Below are 20,632 nucleotides of genomic sequence, written 5' to 3' on the forward strand. Positions count from 1 at the left end.
TAATTATGGGAGGGAGGGTTTAAAGCCCCACTGAAGCAATCTCTTAGGACTATTCATGTTTTCAGAGTGCCCATTCCCATCTCTCTGCTTTCTCCTTTCTTTCCAGCTGAGGGAAATTTCCCATTCCTTCCATAAAGCAATTTTGACTTCTCTACTTCAAGATATTTACTCCCCCTGTGAACTCATAAGCTTTATCAGTAGACCCACCAATTTGATAGCTATTGTGTGTGTAAAAAGAAAAAGAGAGAAAAAAAGAGAATAACTTTTAAAGCATCTACCAAGTGTTGGGTATAATGCTGTACTGTGTAGATATATATCTCATAGATTCTGAAAACATATTTCTTTTTTCACATTAATGTCTCTGAAATTGGGATGCTTTGCACAATCAACTGTGTCTAACAATTGCTGTTGACCAGCCAGTAGTCATGATATAACTGTGTCATTATTCACTTACTATTTTGGTGGAATAACAGGAAAATCCCAATCCCTTGACATCCAATACAGTTAACACTTAAGAACCATTTGAAGAAGGAATGGAAGTTCCGAGTGCTTGAAAACTTTCTATTGAGACCCCAGTATTAAACTTGCACTGAGTGAAAAATTTTGAGTGAAAGTACCATGGGAGAGCTCTCATACATAAGAATGGAACATTCTTTCTTTTATATATGAAAGTGGAACATTATTTCTGCATCACCATTGCTTTTGCAGGCCAGGGGGTGATGTTGTAGGGAAAACATAAACATCAAGAACTCTGAGTCAAAAAGAGACAAAGAAAGATCAGATGAGAAGAAATCTAGGAATACTTGGCCAACTTATTTTTCTTGTATTTTCCCATTTTTATGGGCCCAAGAGTCATATTTTTTTTAAAAAAAACCTATGTCTAAGTAAGTTTTAAAAAACTCTTTGAATAAATAGAAATTCTAAGAAACAAGAAAGATTGTATTTCTGGGATTAATTGGCAGCATATTTTCTTTATTAGTGAAATATAACATAATAATGCTACTTGCAATCAGTGATATCTTAGATTTGAAGAATGTCTTAGTTTAGACTGCTATCACATTTGTGTCTTAGACAACAAATGTTTACTTCTCACAGTTCTGGAGGCTGAGAAGTACAAGATCAAGGTCCCAGAAGATCTGGCATCTGGTGAGGGCATGCTTCCTGCTTTGCAGACAGCCATTTTCTTGCTGTGTCCTCATATGGCTCAGAGAAAAGTGAGAACAAGCTCTATGTCTCTTGTTATAAGGACACAAATCCCATTATGATATGCCACCCTCATGACCTAATAACATTCTGGTATGGTTTGGATTTGTGTCCCCACCCAAATCTCATGTTGAATTGTAAATCTCATGAGATCTGGTTGTTTAAAAGTGTGTAGCACCTCCTCATTTTTTCTCTCTTCTGCCCCAGCCATGTGAAGATGTGCCTGCTTCCCCTTTACCTTCCACCATGATTGCAAGTTTCCTGAGGCCCCTTCAGCCATGCTACCTGTACATCCTGTGGAACCATGAGCCGATTAAACCTCCTTTTTAAAATAAATTACCCAGTCTTAGGTATTTCTTTATAGCAATGTGAGAACAGATTACTATACCATCACAGTGGAAGCTCAGTTTCAACATATGAATGTGGAGTTGGCAGGACACATTTAGCCATAGCAGGAAAATATAATATACCTCATTTAATTCTCACAACAGCCCGAAAATCTACTGTTTGTAGGAAAAACATAGACATCAAGAACTCTGAGTCAAAAAGAGACAAAGAAAGACCAGATGACAAGAAATCTAGGAATACTTGACCAAATTATTTTTCTTGTATTTTCCCTTTTTTACAGGCCCAAGAGTCATATTTTTTTAAAAAAGAAAACCTATGTCTAAATAGATTTTAGGTACCATCGTTCTTAGTTTACAGAAGCAGCAGAGATTGCCAAGCTAGAAAGAATTGGAGTTGAGATTGAGCCCAGGTCATGCCAGACCCACACTCACGACTTTTGTTATCCCATGTGGCCAGTGGGCTTGAGGTTTACCTCTTATCGGTTTTGAGGTCACTAAACAGTTTCCACTTCTATAAAATGTTATAAAAACACCTATGCCACAGAGCTGCCTGGAGGATTGAATGTGGCTAGATTTCACAACCCTTCCAAACTAAAACTACAAGAGACACCATCCTTGTTGTGAATTAGCAACTGCCACATGAAGGCTCTTGAAATGCCTGCCTTTTGTTAGAGCATCATTAGACAAGTTTTTATGTGAATATCCAATCACAACTCAGTGAACAGCATTTTGAGAACAGGGATTTGTTGTTAGAATGAATTTGTATTTTTATAGCATCCTATGCACATAATTGGTATTGAATGGATATTTATCTAAATGAATAAAATAGCATTTGAAAAGTTGTGAAGCATTCAATACTATTGATGTTATTCCCTGTGAACCTGTTGGAACAGAAGACAGGCTGGGAACAGCATATGTTGGTAATGATTTGGCTGCAAAAAGTGTGAGACTTTTTAATAAAACTGTACTAGACCACATTCTCTCCCATGATGATATTTATGACATTTTAGGTAGCAGGAGAACAAGACTCTTGAAAGTAGAAATAATGGAACTAGAGATAGAACACAGAATTGGAAATGGATTTTTTAAAGAATGTGTGGCTAGGAAGGAGTCCCACTTGCTCTGTGATACATGCCTTTTTGTTGTGTACTAAGTCATCTGAGACTCTATAGAAGGAGCTTTTGTCCTTAGAAAGCAATTTTCAGTCAAGTTCCAAAATAATGTCAAACAATTATCTTTTTAAATACATGTTTATGTATTGTAATTAACTTTAGAATTGGTGTTTCTAATCCCCAGTGCCAAAGAAATTCCCTGGAAGTAAGTTAGTTATTTAGGGAAGGGCATTCATTCTGGGCCTGTAAATTTTATTTAAAATTGAGCCATCTTCCTGCTGTTTGTTTAACAGTCCCTGTGTTGTTTGCAGGAAAGTAATGCATCTCCCTAAATGCACCTAACTCACTATCAGCAAATGAGTTGGACACAAGGGCCTCGATATGTAATACCAAGAAGAAATTTGTATACATGAACACATGCCGACAGTGCAGAATTTTTTTAGAGCAAAGATGTATGTGATTTTGCCTTCTGGAGCTTCTCAGCCCAGGTTAACACCCATTCCATAGAGAGGGTACCTTGAAGCCTGCATGGAGGGATGCTGAGCAGAGAGACTCCACAACTGCTCCGATTTATGGAGTACTTAAAAACTAATTAATTAATAGGGAGGTGGGGACAAAGGTTTTGTTTCATAATTCTGATTTATTGCAGACAGGGGATACACATAGAAGAGAAGAAAGCTGAGTATAGAATAGAATTTGAGGGATGCTCCCAAGTCCTGGAATCCCAAATTCCTTCCTTATTCCTTTGCCTTAGCTTCCAAATTTTCTACCATGAATATCATTCCTTTGGATAAGGTCCTCTTTCCTAAGAAAAAGTGATACAGAGGGCAGATTATAAAGTTTTTTTATCATGAAGTCCTGAATTGACCTGAACCTGTTTCCTGTATAGTAGACACAGCGCTCTTTCAGACGGGTTCACACATTACATATATTTTTTTACATTAAAGTTTAGGATTAAAAATGGTGTGGGAGAAAGAGAACTGATCCAGTTGGGGAAGGATTCCACCCTGGGAAGCACGAGAGGCTCCCATGTGCCCAGAAGTGCATGGGGTACAACAATGGGAGAAAGTTGAGCAGCAAAGAAAAATTCGATTTCTTTAACAATTGTGGCTGGCTCAGAGGTTTCACATTCTTTTAAAATGACAATATATACTTCCAAAGAATGACTGTTGTATCTTAATTGAGAGTGTTGCAAACGTAATGTAAGGCAGTGGGAATTCATATCATCTTTTAGTAGGAGGGTCAGTCATGACAGCAAATAACAGCCACACACAACCCCAGCCTAACTTCCTGGATTGCAGAATGCTCGCAAAACCAATTACAGCGGGCTGCGCCACATTACAGAATCCAAACGCTATAACCAATTGTTATAAAAAGAAAATTGAGCCACATGCTACAGTTTTTTTTTCCTTTCCATTAAATCATAACAGAGTATCTTTGGCCTAATGTCCCCTGTGAGACGGGTTGGGCTGATTTGTGTAGAAATTCTCACTTGACAAGCAGCTGTGAAGGCAAGCTTGCCGGGTTGACAGGCAGAGCAGCGCACCATCCACCCAATAACTCAGGGACAAAAAGCAAATCAATAGACATAATATTGCAAAACACTGCAGCAGGATAAACACAGCTCTCACATCTATTTGATTTTTCTCCCTCATCTGTCAACACAATTGAGAAGTCGCACTTGCTAATTGTCTTCAATTGGCAGACTCCACCGACTTTGGCGCTGCGACACTGGTTGCCACAGTCTTTGCCGCTCGTAGTCGCTAGCCTGGCGTTCTTGGAAGCGGCCTCCATTTTGGGCGGGCTGCGTTCATCCGCACGACTTCTCTCTGTCTGGATGAGGCACAGTCTCCATTATGCAGTTCTCTCATCATTAGCACCGACTGAAGAATCTGTGCCATGTTCTCTGTATCCAAAATATTTGAGGGAGGCAAAGAATCCCAGGAAGTCAATGAAAATGCGCTTCTATTGCCAGCTAGCATTTGCAACTGCCAGACTTCCTTGCATTCAAATTAGATTACCCAGCAGAGAAAGGACAGAGAGGGACTGGTTTCAAACTAAGCTTTCTTTTGTGACTAAATGGCTGTGTTTAAAAAGAGGACACTTGATTCACTTTCTAAGAGGTCATGCACCATCAGCACCCTTGTTTGCCCCCTGGAAGATTGTAATGTCATCCACAAAACTTTAAATTCCTCAAAGACACAACAGTGAGCCCCTTGTCCTCCATGCACCTAGCATAGCGCTCGGCAAAGAGTTGGGTCCTGACAAATACTGGCCATATTGACCCAGGGGTGCTAAAACTACACAGAAGAAAGGAATATTAGCCCGGGAGCTCAGGGGTCTGCAATTTTCTAGGAGGAGGGTAAGACACCTGTATCCTGCTGTTGCTAATATCCTGGTTTGGTGTTCAGGTATGGCACAATTCATCCCGTCTGTTTGGCGGTGGTTGTCCAAGGTGTCTTTGCAAAGTCATAAAGTAGATCTCTAAGAACTTAGCAAATAATCCAGGTATAACTGGCTTTATAGGTGAACCAGAAGTAGGCAGTCCTGGCATCCATGGTTAGAAGGTTAGCTGAACTCCCCCCATACCACCTTTCAAAGGCCTTCTCACTAACTGCCAGGGGTACTACTGGGAACTTTCCCTGCTCATGTATGTGCATCCTTCACACTCCTGGGGTCATGGAACAAGAACTGAATCTCCTCCACTTTGCAAATTAGTACCTCAAAACATTCAGTTCTCTCTTGGCTGCTTCACTTTTCTCAGACACCTTTGCCTCATGAGCTCATTCTCTCTTTCTCCTTCTATCTCTATCTACACACGCACACACGCATGCACGCATACACACACACACACACACACACACACATTGCCTCTTTATTACGGACAATTTCAAATATACCAAGTAGACAAATGTGTAAGTAACCTCCATGTATTCAAACCCAACTTCAGCCATATCAACTCATGGCTAACTTATTGCACTGATTTTCCACTTTTCTTCTCTTACAGTGATATCATTGTGAAGCAAATCTCACATATCATATTATTTGCACATGTTTTAGTAGACTGTATATCTTTAGCAAGTAATTAAGTAACATCTCCAAGAAACCTCTAAGCCCTTAGGGTTTTGGGCTTCCTGTTTTGTGCTTTCTTGATACCCTGCTTGCTCCCGACTAAAACGAAATTGTTAGTCTGGCTGTTTCCAGGTTGTCTCCCTTGCTCGATGATAGAACCACGGAAGCCTGAGCTCACCTAACAGATAGAAGCTCACAGAATTGCATCGTGTTGAACAGATCAGCACCTCTTGTATGTACCACAGACTGCATGTCAATCCCCTAACAAGTAAAGTCACAAAGCCAAGTGAGTCAGCCCCTTTCCCAACTCCCTTTGAAGCAAACCATGCAGATAGTGTGAGAAAACAAATTACAGTGTGCTTTATACACTCTTGGTTCTTGAGTTTTTTGGTTTTTAAACTAGCCACTGTTTTAGTGCCTGGCCTTAAAGGCTGTGGGAATCACCAGCTCCATTTCCCAGCATCCTGCAGAGGACCTCATGTTTTCACACTTCTGATCCAGGCACTGACTTTTCCTGCCAGACAACACAGCTTTAGATTATAAAATCCCAGCCACTGAAACAAACTGCTGCCCATTTCCGTGTAGATTTCTCAGCTGCAGAAATTATTGTCTTTTCAGACAGCACTCATACATTTTGTCAGTAAGTAGCCACCCTCAGCTTTCATTTTTGATGGTAAAATAATAGAGAGGAGGAAAAAATGGGTTTTATGAGTGTTCAAAGTTTTACATTGCAAGTCTGATTCCTAATTGTAATTTTCCTGGTCGTAATTCTCCTTAAGTTTTAATACATATAAAATGACTTGGCTATAAAATCACAGAGTGAAGAACAATTTTGATCTCCATGTTAAAATAACCATTTTCAGAATAATCAGGGAAGCCAAATGGTGGCTTTTATCTTAAAAGTTTTCATAGTGTCATTTTATGGAATAGAAAAGGTTGTCTTCAGACTGGAGACATCTGAAAAATAAAAATATATTTTTGTGCTTAAAAATCATTGATTTGAGACGGTTGTCCATGGGACAATTATGTAGAGAACCCTGGCATAGAAAAGAAATAATATGATTTTTTGAGACCTAGGTTCCAGTGAGGAATGTGCCACAAAATAGCTCTGACCTTAAACCCTAAATTACCTTAGTTCCTTGGGTCGAGAGTTAACAGATAAAATAGAAGATGCCCAGTTAAGTTTAAATTTCAGATAAACAATGACTACTTTCTTAGGATAAAAATGTCCCAAATGTCTCTAGGATAAATCTATCCTAAAAAATTGTTTCTATAATTGTATAATTTTACTTGCTAAATCTTGCAACTCTACCTGGGTCTCATCGTCTTCAAAGCCCTGCAGCCCCATTCTTATCTATCCTTTTTGTTTTCCTTTATCAATTTACAATAAGTATTTTTGCTCATCTGAATTTAACTGCTCTTTACGTTGTTAAAGAAATGCTATTTATATTTTCCCATTAATTTTGCAAAGGTGTTTTGAATATCATATTCTTCCTGAATATAATAATTTCTGGATAAAAATCTCAGAATATTAGAATGTATATATTTCAAAACAAATGATCCCCAGTTGTTTCAAGGTTATAGAGTTGAAAACAAAGAAAGAACTAAACCCTTTCCTTTTATGATCATTTTCCCTTAAGTAAACACAGCGTTACTAGCATTACTAGGCTTGATATCCCTCCTCCTGCAATCCTAAGAACAGAAAGGTGATTTGAGCCCAATAATTATTAGTAAACTTCATGGTTAATAAGAGAACATAGATTCATGGCCAGAGTCTAGGGAAAAAAAAACAGCTTGGTACATTAACTGCTTTTTTACTATTTAAACCATGAGGCTAGTTGGGTATTTGTTTACAAACAAGTTATACCTGAAAAAAAAGTTGGTCAATTTAAAAAAATACAAAAGACTGTGTTAACTTTTACAAGTAAGTTTGAATTTTATGGGTCTTACATTCCATCTGAGGCAGCCTATATTAGTGACACTTGTGATCAAGTATAAACTGTGCTCATATATAATGTCTTGAGAATTAAAGAATAAATAGCAAGATATTTTTTTAAGGCCTGATTCATAGTTTTCCTTATCCTCATGTATATTCTTTGTGATTCTCTTTTAGTCAAAATTTATATCTTTAGTGTTTGGGCTTCTAATGAGCTATAGAACAGATTTTTTTCTTTGAAATCTGTATTTTTCACAAAGCTAATGGAAACCATATGTGATTGTACTAATTCTAGTCAAAAATTAAATATGTTTTTGTCTGTTTAGTCCTATTGGAGAGAACGTTATTGAGGCATCCTTGATCTTGTATTCTAAAGATTCAAAATGGAAATCTAAACCTCATCAGGACAGGTGGCAACTAACAAAGTCTTTCTTGAATTCTTAGTTTTAATGATATTTTAAATTCTGTCGGTACCTCAGGCAGAGAAGGATAAAAAACAAGCACAGTACTGATGGTGTATGAGTTAATGGGAAGATAACTGATAAAATTAAACCTTTGCAACCTGCTGAGCTAACCCAAACTTGCTAAGCTACTAGAACATTAATGAGTAAGAGATCTTAATTAAATTGTTTGTAATTAACTCTCCCAGGAGTAAAAAGTGTAAAAGTAGTGAAACTAGAATACCTGTGGCACCTAAATTCAATAAGAAAAGTAATTTCAACCCAAATGACATGCATAGATGTATATAAAATATATATGCATGCATGTATATCAATGCCATACAAACTGTAGTGATTTATTTTCTCTTGAAATTTTTCCAAGCTACATTTTTAGAAGGTTGATATTAATATTTGTTATTTAGTGCAAATAATGCATTCTGTGTTGTCAGTGACAATGCTATGTCCTAAAATAAACCAGGGATTTCAATTAAAGGTACAATATTTTCTATGTAAATTTAATGAGATTTAGATCATCTGTGATCTAATTTGTCATAAGACAAATATACACACCGAAAAGACCTGGTTAGGAAGGAGCAGCTATGTTTAACTATGTACCAAAATGATCTCTTGCTTTTCCAGGGGATCAATGCAGCCATTCTAAGGGCAGTCATGCAGTCCAACTCTATGGGTAGCCTGGTATGACCATGAGACAGGTGGACCATAACCGCTTGAGCCAACCAAACTTACAATATAATCTGATTCATGAATGGCTTATTCATGAGCTCAGGCATTGCAAGAGGTGCTGAGATGCAAAGGTGCATAAGACACGGCCCCTAGTTTATGCACCTTGCAGTCTAGTGGAGTTAAGGGGCAGAGGGTAAAAGTTTCAACCAAATGAGTTCAACTTCTTAGAGCTTATTTTCATTTCTGTGTTTCTTTTCACATTCCCATTGAAACTGCATGTGCTTATTACATGGAAACTTTAAAAACTTGATAAATTAAAATAAATGATAATATACATGAATGTATTTTATTAACTGTAAGACCCTAATGCAAATCTTAATATTACATAGGTGTGACCTGATCCACCCACACCATCTTTAATCTTGACACTGGGGTAGGCAAGTAGCCCTCAGACTTGCGTAAGCCTGATTATGTTTTAAGAAACAGAATATGGAACTGGCTGACTGGCCTGACATTGGTCCTCTTCCCACTTCTCACCACCTTTGCCAGAGTGAAATTCACATGGCCACCATCTTCACTGTCCAGGGAATCCTTTAATATCATCTCTGTTCTATTGAGGTCACTGGACTAGTCCTTAACGGATATTTGAGAGTCAAGTGTGACCCTGGGGAGCCATGTCTTCTCCATTCATGTCATCATTACTTTTGATCACAGAGCTGCCTTTTGCATTCATTACCTGCTGGTTAAAGTAATGTTAAATTAGAGAGCAAAAAGTTCTTTGCAGATTTCAGGGCATCATTTCACTAATACAAGGAGCAGCTGACTCTCAGACAGCAAAAGAAGCAGCCTCCTCATCCTTCTCTTCCCTCCACTTCAACAGGTGAGCAATTCCCCTGTGCATTAGATCAGCTACTGACAAAACTTTTTGAGTTATTATTTTCTCGTAGCAAAGGAGACTCCAAGGTGAACTCCATGCTGCAGAGCTACATTCCATTTTATTTACTTACATTCACTCTCAAGTTTCAAGAGGGTGTGCGTCTCTATAAAACCAGTATCTTGGTTGTCAGGGGTTTACAAGGCTTTTCTGCGTTCCAAGTTCACAAATTCCAAAATCTAGTCAAAAGCCTATGTTCCTCCATGATTTTATATTCCTGGATCATCTTATCCCCAATCCTATGGTTTCCAGGCTGAAGTTTCAAGCTATTTTTTTCTCAATGTATTTTTCTCAGGAGGATCTTTTGCCCCTGTTGAGTGTTTAAACATTTCCCCACTTAGTTAATATACCCAACTCTGAATTCTTCCTCTATGAAATTGAGAAAAATATTTACTGACTCCATTGAGTTGTTGTGAGGTTGAGAGCCATCATCCATGTACAGTATTTGCAATGGTGTCTGCCCCTATCAACCATTAATACCCTGCATTCATGTCTTTTGCATGTTTCTATTTAGACATAAAGGCATACCTTGGAGATATTGTAGGTTCAGCTCCAGACCACCCCAATAAAGCTAATATCATAATAAAGCAAGGCACACAAATTCTCTGATTTCCAAGTACATATAAAAGTTATGTTTTAACTATACTGTAGGCTACCAAATGTGCAATAACATTATGTCTAAAAAAATACATACCTTAATTTAAAATTACTTTATTGCTAAAAAATTCTAATGATTATCTGAGCCTTCAGCTAATCACAATCTTTTGCTGATGGAGGCTCTTGCCATGATATTGATCATGGCTGACTGATTAGGGTGATGGTTGCTGAAGGCTGGGGTGGCTGCCGCAATTTCTTAAAATAAGACAATGATTAAGTTTGCCACATTGATTGACTCTTCCTTTAATGAAAGATTTCTCTGTAGCATGAAATGCTATTTAATAGCATTTTTCCAACAGTAGAATGTTTTTCAAAATTAAAATCAATCCTCTCAAAACTGCTATTGCTGTATCAACTAAATTTATGTAATAAATTCCAAATCCTTTTTTGCCATTTCAACAATGTTCACAGCATCTTCCCCAGTAGATTCCATCTCAAGGAACCACTTCCTTTGCTCATCCATAAGAAGCAACTCTTCATCAGTAAAGTTTTATCATGGGATTGCAGCAATTGAGTCACATCTTCAGCCTGTACTTCTAATTCTAGCTTTCTTGCTATTTTTACCACATCTGCAATTTCTTCCTCCACTGAAGTCTTGAACCCTTCAAGGTTATCCATGAGGTTTGGAATATATTTCTTCCAAACTCCTGTTAATGTTGATATTTTGACTTCCTCTCATGAATCACAAGTGTTCTTAATGGCATCTAGAATAATATATCTTTTCCAGAAGGTTTTAAACTTACTTTGCCAAGATATATTAAAGGACTCACAATCTATGGCAGCTATAACCTTAAGAAATGTATTTATTAAGTAATAAGACTTAAAAGTCAAAATTGCTGCTTGATTCATGGGCTGTAGAATGGATGTTGTGTTAGCAGGCATGAAAACAACATTAATCTTCTTGTACATCTTGACATCTAGTTGACATCTAGTCAGCTCTTGGGTGCCTAAATGCATTGTTAATGAGCAGTAATATTTTGAAAGGAATCTTTTTTACTGAGCAGTAGATCTCAACGGTGGGCTTAAAGATTCTGTAAACCATGCTGTGAACAGATGTGATATTCTCCAGTCTTTGTTCTTCCATTTCTAGAGCACAAGCAAAGTAGATTTAGCATAACTCCTAAGGGCCCTGGGATTTCCAGAATAGTAAATGAACATTGGCTTCAACATAAAGTTACGAGCTGCATTAGCCCCTAACAAGAGGGTCAGCCTGTCCTTTGAAGCTTTGAAACCAGGCATTGACTTCTCCTTTCTGGCCATGAAAGTCCTATATGGCATCTTCTTCCAATAGAAGGCTGTTTTATTTACATTGAAAATCTATTGTTTACCTGTATCAAAACATCTTATGTACTCCATAAATACATACACCTACTATGTACAAAAATTTAAAATAAAAAAATTTACAAAAAGAAAATCTATTCTTTAGTGTAGCCACCTTCATCCATGATCTTAGCTAAATCTTCTGAATAACTTGCTGCAGCTCCTACATCAGCACTTGCTTCTTCACCTTGCACTTTTATGTTATGGAGATGGCTATTTTCCTTAAACCTCATGAATCAACCTCAGCTAGCTTCCAGCTTTTCTTCTGCAGCTTCCTTACCTTTCTCAGGTTTCACTGAATTGAAAAGAGTTATAGCCTTATCTGGATTAGGCTTTGGCTTAAGAGAATTTTGAGACTGATTTGGTGTTCTATTCAGACCACTAAAATTTTCTCCATATCAACAATAAGCCTGTTTTGCTTTCTTGTCATTTGTGTTCCCTGGAGTAGCACTTTTCATTTTCTCCAAGAATGTTTTCTTTGCATTCACAACTTGACTAACTTTGGTGCAAGAAACTTAGCTTTAGGCCTATCTAATCTTTCCACATGCCTTCCTCATGAAGCTTAATCATTTCTGTCTTTTGATGGAAAGTGAGAGATGTGTGACTCTTCCTTTAGAGGCCATTGTAGGGTTATTAATAGGCCTAATTTCAATTTTATTGTGTCTCAGAGAATATGGAGGCCCAAAGAGAGGGAGAGAGATTGGGGAACAGACAGTCTGTGGAGCAGTCAGAACACACACCACATTGATGGATTAAGCTCACCCACCATCTTATACAGGCCTGGTTCATGGCACCCAAAAACAGTTACAACAGTAACATCAAAGATCACTGATCACAGACCATTAACAGATATAATAATGAAAAAGTTTGAAATATTGCAAGAATTATTAAAATGTGATACAGAGACACTCAGTGAACAAATGGCACTGATAGACGTGCTCAACCCAGGGTTGTCACAAACCATCAATTTGTTAAAAAATTCAGTATCTGCAAAATGCAATAATATAAGGCACAATAAAATGAGGTGTTCCTGTGGTTGTGTAGTTGATATTTAGTGTGTCAACTTGACTGAACCATAGAGTGCCCAGGTATTTGGTTAAACATTATTTCTGGGTGTGGCTCTGAGGGTGTTTCTAGATAAGATTGAATCAGTATACTGATTAAAGCAAATTGTCCTCCCCATTGTTGGTAGACATCATCCAATCTGTTGAAGGTCTGCATAAAGTATAAGACTAAGTAAGAAAGACTCTCCCTGCCTAACTGTCTTCAAGTGGAGACATGGATCTTCTCTTGCCTTCAGATTGGAAATCAGACTGGAACTTGTACTTTCAGCCCTCTTGGTTCTCAGGCCTTCAAGCTCAGACTTACAACTATATCATCAGCTCTCCTGGGTCTGGACTTCTCAGCTTCCATAATCTTGTGAGCCAATTCTTTGTAATACAGATGCTAATATACATAAATTATTTTTTAACATATGTCACCCCATTGGTTCTGTTTCTCTGGAGAACACTGAGAATATAATAGTGGAGATTTCCTCAGACTTTTGCATGAGTTCTTTATTATTATTACTGTAAATGTATTTTCCAGACAGTTGTAAAATCTTTGATCTTATTAATTTTTGAGTTTGACTTTGTAAGTTAAATATTTGTATGTAGTTACCTACATTTCTGAAGACTTCATCTTAGCATCTGTGGAGCTGAGCGAAGCAATTCTGGCACTTTTCTAATGACTTCTCTAGTTCATCATCCTGTATTTAACTTGTAAAAGAGAGTTTTTCCAATGATCTGCCCTCTGATTATTTTTTCTTTTCGCAAATTTTATCACACATAACATATATAAAGAAATGAGTCATAAGTGTTCACAAATTTAAAGTCAGCACACCTGCATCACAAACACCCAGATAAAGAAATTAAGAAGGAAAAATAAAAACAGAATCCCAGAAGTCCCCTTGAGCCTGCCCTCAGGGTTACCACTCTTCTGACCTGTAACAGTCTAGATAACATGGCCTGGTTTTGAATTTCATATAAATATAATCATACAACCATGTAGTCTTTTGAGTTTGACCTCTGCTGCTCAACATTATGCTTGTGAGATCCAGCCGTGCTGCTTGTAGCTTTGGCCTAGTAATTGTCATTGTTGTAGAGTATTCCCTTGAATGAATTAACCACAATTCATTGATCCATTTACCTTTGATGCACTCTGGGTTTTGATTCCGTTTTTGATGGTTGTAAATAGTGCTGACATGAACATTCACATAAATGTCTTTTGTGAATGTATGTGCCCATTGTTGCTGGATGACTGTCTAGGAGTGGAATTGCTAGGTTGCAAGACACTTCCGCTTTTTATCTCTTCTTTTAATATATTTTCCTTCATAGGTTTCCTCAATTATGAGGTTATCCTATAAACATGAGTAACTTTAATTTTATATTCCCACCTCTCTGCTGTCTTAAGCACCAGCAAAATTATACGTTAGTTATAAAGAAAAACATTGCTCAGGACTCCAAGTCCTTGGCTTTCATCCCTCCATGGCCTGCCACCCTGCTGCATCCTCCAGGCAAGGGAACACGACTTCCAGCTACAAGTTTGAACTCAGACACCTATCTGGTCTCTTTCTTACCTGTGTTGCCTGGCCACATATGAAATATAAAGATTAATTTTCTCCATGTAGTTAAAGGCCTGGGTGGTGGGAGGAAGGAAGGGCAGAGTAAGCGTCCGCTCTTTCTGGAAGTTTCCATCCTAGTTCCTCTCTGGGTTTCTAAGGTGTAGGAAGGGTTTAAAGATAGAATGGAGTGCCACCATAGCAGGACAAGTCCTAACACCCGCCTGCCTTACCACACCAGCTGCAGGAGAAAACAGTTCTAACAGGGAGACAATTTAAAGAGGAAACGGTCCCTACATGCAGAAGAGAGAGCACTAACCACTCCACTCCTCCCTTGTGCCCTCACCCCAAATGTCGTGATGTGCGTGTGATTTTGACCACTGGGGCTCCTCCTTGGGTAGAGGGAGGAGAGTGTGCACCACTAGCCCATGGTTCCCGGTGTGTCAGGGCTTATCTGGGACCTCAAACTTAGCATATCTAAAACCAAACCCTTATCTTTTCCCCAAACCAAATCCCCTTTCAGACTTCTCAGTTTCTGTCAGCTGTAACATCACAATCATATTCATCGAAACCTTACAAACCATTTCAGATTATTTTCCTTTAATCAGTCAACAAATATTTTTGATTCTTCTTCAGAACTATTCATCTTTAAAGTGACTTTTGTGTCCCCTTGGGATCATCTTTTGTTACCTCCCAACTGGATTATTGCCAAAGCTTTCTGGGACTGTCTCACTGACTCTGCCCATCACCCCATCTGGCTTTGCTGCCATCTTGATATTAAGCTTTCTAAAAGGGTGACTTCCTAACGTTATTCATCTTACTAAAAACCTCTAAGGCCTCCATCAGAGGAACAAGAACTACTGTGAAGTAATGGACATTGAACTGACAATGAGCAACTAGAATTTATATAACGAAATAACTTTTTTTGAAAAAAGTATAGTCAGGTTACTGTTGAATAATGAAGTCTAGAAGAATCAAGACTAGGAAGACCTAAATTTAACCCACTTTATTTATTTATAATTTTTATTTATTTATTTATTGAGATGGAGTCTCGTTCTGTCACCCAGGCTGGAGTGCAGTGGTGCCATGTTGGCTCACTACAACCTCTGCCTCCCAGGTTCAAGCGATTCTCGTGCCTCAGCCTCTGGAGTAGCGGGGACTACCACCGTGCACTACCAAACCAGCTATTTTTTTGTATTTTTTAGTAGAGATGGGGTTTTGCCATGTTGGCCAGGCTGGTCTTGAACTCCTAGCCTCAAGTGATCCCCTCGCTTTGGCCTCCCAAAGTGCTGGGATTACAGGTGTGAGCCACCACGCCCAGCCCCAAGATAGTTCTTTAAACTGGAGAATCAGTCAGTGCTTTTGGGTAGCCACCGCACCTGACCTGATTTAACCCATTTTAGAACTCAAGTGTATGAAACACTTTAGAAAACAGTTTCAGCTGGGCATGGTGGTTCACGCCTGTAATCCCAGCACTTTGGTAGGCTAAGGCAGGCAGATCACCTGAGGTCAGGAGTTCAAGACCAGCATGACCAACATGGCAAAACCCTGTCACTACTACTAATACAAAAATTATTAGCTGAGCATGGTGGCATGCACCTGTAATCCTACCTACTCAGGAGGTTGAAACACGCAAATTGCTTGAACCTGGGCAGTAGAGGTTGCAGTGAGCAGAGATGGCACCACTGCACTCCAGCCTTGGCAATGAAGTGAGACTCCACATCAAAAAGAAAAGAAAAAAGAAAACAGTTTCAATTGGAACAGAAATCCCAACTGCAGATTGCTTTGAAGTGAGTGAAGAAGAGCCATCTTTTGGGCAGCTAGAATGCAGGCCTGAGGAGGACACTAGACAATTAGTTTTGAATAATGCACAAAAATAAGCATTTTCCTTCATGGAAGCCAAAAATGCATAGTCTATTACTACCCCTCTTCAACTAGCACATGAACCTTAGCAGCTGATAAAATTTATCTATGCTTAAAATAGGTAATCCCTTTTCTGTCCCTACCATGTATGTCCAAAGCTGACCCCGGTAATCAATCCACTCCCTCCTGGTCAGCCTCTATGTGGTCAAGGTCTCCCGCTTGGTACATTGCTCCTTCTCCATTCCTGTTCCACATTCCATCATAGACACAAGCATATACGTGAGATGCCACTAGGAATTCTGAAAGGAATGAGAAAGTATACCTGGCCTGACTAACCCCTCCTTTCTCCCGTCCATCTTTTTACAAACATTTGGTATCTACTATGTGCTGAACACATTACCATGCATTTTTTCAAAGGTGAAAGTAAATATTATATAGTTTTTATCTTCACAGTACTTACTCTGTATGTTATGGTTGAACTCTCTCCCTCACTCCCCTCTCTCTCTCTCTCTCTGTTTCTCTCATGCATTCATACATGAATGCATACAAGACTATAATATTGGGATTAAATACGAATTGCATATTGTCTCCATTTCTATTGTGCCTTGTATTATAGGGTCAAGTAAGTGTTAGAATGATTTGAATCTACTGGGCCTCATTGGCCTTAGCCTTCTGCAAGTAGAGCCTTCCTCCCAGGGAATTCAGACAGCTTGGGAACCCCAAGCAAGATAGAAGTGGAGAGAGACTAGAACAACAAATAGAAGTGCCAGAGGAGGCAAACAGAAAATCTGGTCCCCTTTTGCATACATTTTCTATATCGAACCAATGTTTTAACAGCAGAATGCTCCAAAGGGCATAGATTGGTGGTGTGGCCTCCATTTCTCCTGAAGGCTTTGTTCTTCCAGACTACTCAGTCTGTTGTTAATCCTCCTGCAGACAGTAAATGGTCCAGGTAAGGGCTTCATTCGTGGCTGCTTTTAAGAGATACTGAATGAGAGAGTCCTTGGGAGGTCAACAATTAAATCTAGATACATGAAGATGACAGAATAGGACAATAAATATTTGGGAGCTTGCTAATTTGTGAAAGTGTCCTGCTCAGTTCCATTTGGGCTTCCTGAGAAATGTCTAGACCACAGCTGGACACCACATGGGCCCAGAGTTTGATTTCCTTGAACAGAATTTCAACTGTAATACAGGCAAATAAGCAACTATGAGGACTCCTCGGAGGATACTTCCCATCCTCCATCTCTGAATGCTAGGAACACAAAAGCCAGAGGTTGGAGGAAAGTAGAAAGTAGAGATTTTATTTTATTTTATTTTATTTATTTATTTTTGCCATCCAAGGGATGGAATGGTATAACAGTGTTGCTAGTTTTTAATGACCATACAATTTTTGATTCTCCTCCCATCAAGAAGTGAGATCTTTGAACCCTCCCCTTGAATCTGGGTGGGCTTCTGTGACCACTTTGACCAATTAAGCATGATGGAAGCAATGCTTGTGACTGCCGATGTTAGGTCATAACAGGCCATGCAACTTCCACCTTGTGCTCTTGGAATACTCATTTTGGGGAAAACCAGGACCCCTGCAAGAAATTCAAATAATCTGCAGCTACTGTGCTGCAGATGCTAAATGAGAGGGCTTTGTCAACAGTCCCAGCTGAGCCCCACTTTCCAGCCGTCCCCACCAAGGCACCAGACATGTAAGTCAGGCTGTCTTGGCTCCTTCAGACCAGCCCTTCTGCCAGCTGAGAACCACTTATTTATTATTGGTAAATGCTGGGTATGAAAAAAAAAAACAACCAAATGAGCCCTGCCTGAATTCCTGAACTATGCAATCCATAGGATATAATAAAATGGATATTGTCTTAAGCTTCTAAGTTTAGGGAGGGTTTGCTATGCAGCAATGCTGCCCGGAACAGAAGGGCGCATGGCCTGAGGGTAAACTGTCAAAGGTCCTGCTGAGGGTGATCTGGGATGGAGAGGAATGATTGTTCACAAGTTGATGCTGCCAAGTGGGTCTGAATTGGAGGGCAGGGAAGATAAGGATGCTCCTCCATTGGCTTTTTTTTTCTTTTACTTTTTATTTTTCTTTTTTAAGATAGGGTCTCATTCTGTCACCCAGGCTGGAGTGCAGTGGCAAGAACGTGGCTCACTGCAGGCTTGACCTCCTGGGCACAAGGGATCCTGCTGCCTCAACCTCCCATGTAGCTGGGACCACAGACACATGCCGTCATGTCCAGCTAATTTTTTTTATTTATCTATTTTTTGTAGTGATTGGGGTCTTACTTTGTTGTCCAGGTTGGTCTTGAACTCCTGGTCTCAAGAGATCCTCCCACCTCAGCCTCCCAAAGGGATTACAGGTGTGAGCCACTACACCCAGCCCCCACTGGCTTTTGAAATAGGAATACTATCAAAACCCTCACACTCTTAACTCCCTATTGAATAACAAGCCTCTACTGAAGTCACAATAGGCAAGGGTCCTGACAACCTATTTTGTGGCCCCACTGTGTTACTTAAGGATTGTATTAGTTGACTAGGGTTGCCATGACAAAATACCACAAACTAGGTAACTTAAGCAACATAAAGCTATGATCTTACAGTTCTGGAGGCTAGATGTCTGAAATCAAGGTGTCTGTAGCGTTGGCTCCCTCCTAGGCCTGTGAAGTAGAATCTGTTCCATGCTTCTCTGCCAGTTTCTGATGGTTTTCTGGCAATCTTGGGCATTCCTGGGCTTATGGAAGCTCACCCCAGTCTCTGCCTTCATCTTCACATGGTGTTTCTGTGTGAATATCTATGTTCAAATGTTTCCTTTTTATAAGGACACCAGTCTTACTGAATTAGAGCCCATCCAATGACTTCTTCATAACTCAGCAAATTACATCTGCAATAACCTTATTTCCAAATCTGGTCACATTCTGAGGTACTAGTATTAGGGTTCCAACCTATGAATTTTGGGGGCAATTCAACCCATAATACGAGCTGCGTAATCTTGTACTATTATGGAAAATAATAATAAACCTCCGCTATTAGCTCAAAGAGATGCTGAGGGAGTTAAATAATCTAGGTAAACTGGAAAAGGCTGTGCATTGGTTTCAATGCCGAAATCTCCCTGCTCCCACCCTGAGCGACGCAGCATGCGAGGTGTGAGGTGTGATGTCCCACAAGCCAGGTGCTCAGATGCTGTGCCTACATGAGGGTGTGGGCTGAATGGGAGTCTCGGTGGCATTTTGCAAGGGGATTTTTTTGTCTGGTGTTTCTGTGCTGCGTGGGATGGAGCTCATTTATGTTATTTTCACTTCCTACATTAGCAATGGCAGGTGCACAGTTATGGAGAACTTCATCCCTCCCTGTCTGCTTCAGGGGTTTGTGTGTGGTCAAGTGGGACTGAAGAAAAGTAGCACACTCAACACAAGGGGTACAAGACAGCAAAGAATTCCATCCAGGCTACTTCTCTCATGCTGTCCAGCTGGGACAGGTCACAAGAAGGGGGTAATATTTTAGAGATCTTAAGGCAGGGATCTCAGAGTCCAGGAGACAAAGATGACTGCTGAAATTCATCACCTGCAGCCACTTCTCTCCTTCCTCAGCTCACTCTCAATGGACACTTGACCCATTACCCCCGGAGCCCTTGAAGCAGATGAACACAGCAGCAGTGTGTCCATGACTGCCAGGGGAGAGATGCCTTGGGAAGCCCTGTCAGAGGGGCCTGAGTTTACAGGAAAAGTCTAGTTTCCCAGCAAGGGAGACAGGCATTTTTTACTCATTTTATCAAGGCCAAGTTGATTTGGAACCAGTGCCCACTGATTGCCTGAATGGAGGTCAGGACTGTGTCGAAAATCTGGGCACATTTCCCTTTAAGCATTTGCACGTTCCATATTTGAAAGCCAAATCTGAGTCCAGGGACAAAATCTGCTTTAGTGAGGGCATCTGGGTGTCCTGGGATGAGATTGTGCAAAGCAGCCCATCAGAATTCCAGGCCCTGGGATCTTCCATGAAACCTCCCTCCGGTTTTACTGGGATAAAATGAAGATGAGATGACTGAAACCAAAGCTCCTAGGGAAGGAGAAATCTCAAGGAATAGTGTATCAGCTGACATTCTCTGGGGCTGCTATCTCAAAGCCTAAAGCAGAGAAACGGAAAAAGTCTGCTCCCCGGTAAGAAGAAAATCACCAGTTTGAATTGCAGAATATGCACTCAATTCACCCTCTATCCATCATACAGATGGGCATCTCCCTGCAGCTTTGTCCTGTCTCTTTTGCATCCTTCCCCTCCCCATGCCTGTTCTCTTCTCCTCTACAATTATGTTCTTGACTCTATGTGTGTCATAGAAAGAAATAAAATTTCAGGTTTAGGAGCTGGGGTTCTCAAAGTATGCTCTGAGGTCAACCTACATCAGAATTACCTCTTAGGATAGAGAAAGGCATCAAAAATCAGAGTTCCCAGCTCTGTCTTAAGCCTGTAGAAA

At 39.7% G+C, this 20,632-nt stretch overlaps 1 annotated feature.

Moving 5' to 3' along the window:
* Window positions 19,493-19,722: an enhancer, noted in NCBI's record as "active region_13351". NCBI's record gives its function as "activates an Ori minimal core promoter by ATAC-STARR-seq in GM12878 lymphoblastoid cells {active_cell/tissue: GM12878}" and the evidence as "EXISTENCE:reporter gene assay evidence [ECO:0000049][PMID:35858748]".

The sequence above is a fragment of the Homo sapiens genome, chromosome 18, assembly GCF_000001405.40.
Source record: "Homo sapiens chromosome 18, GRCh38.p14 Primary Assembly".
Taxonomy (NCBI): Eukaryota; Metazoa; Chordata; class Mammalia; order Primates; family Hominidae; genus Homo; species Homo sapiens.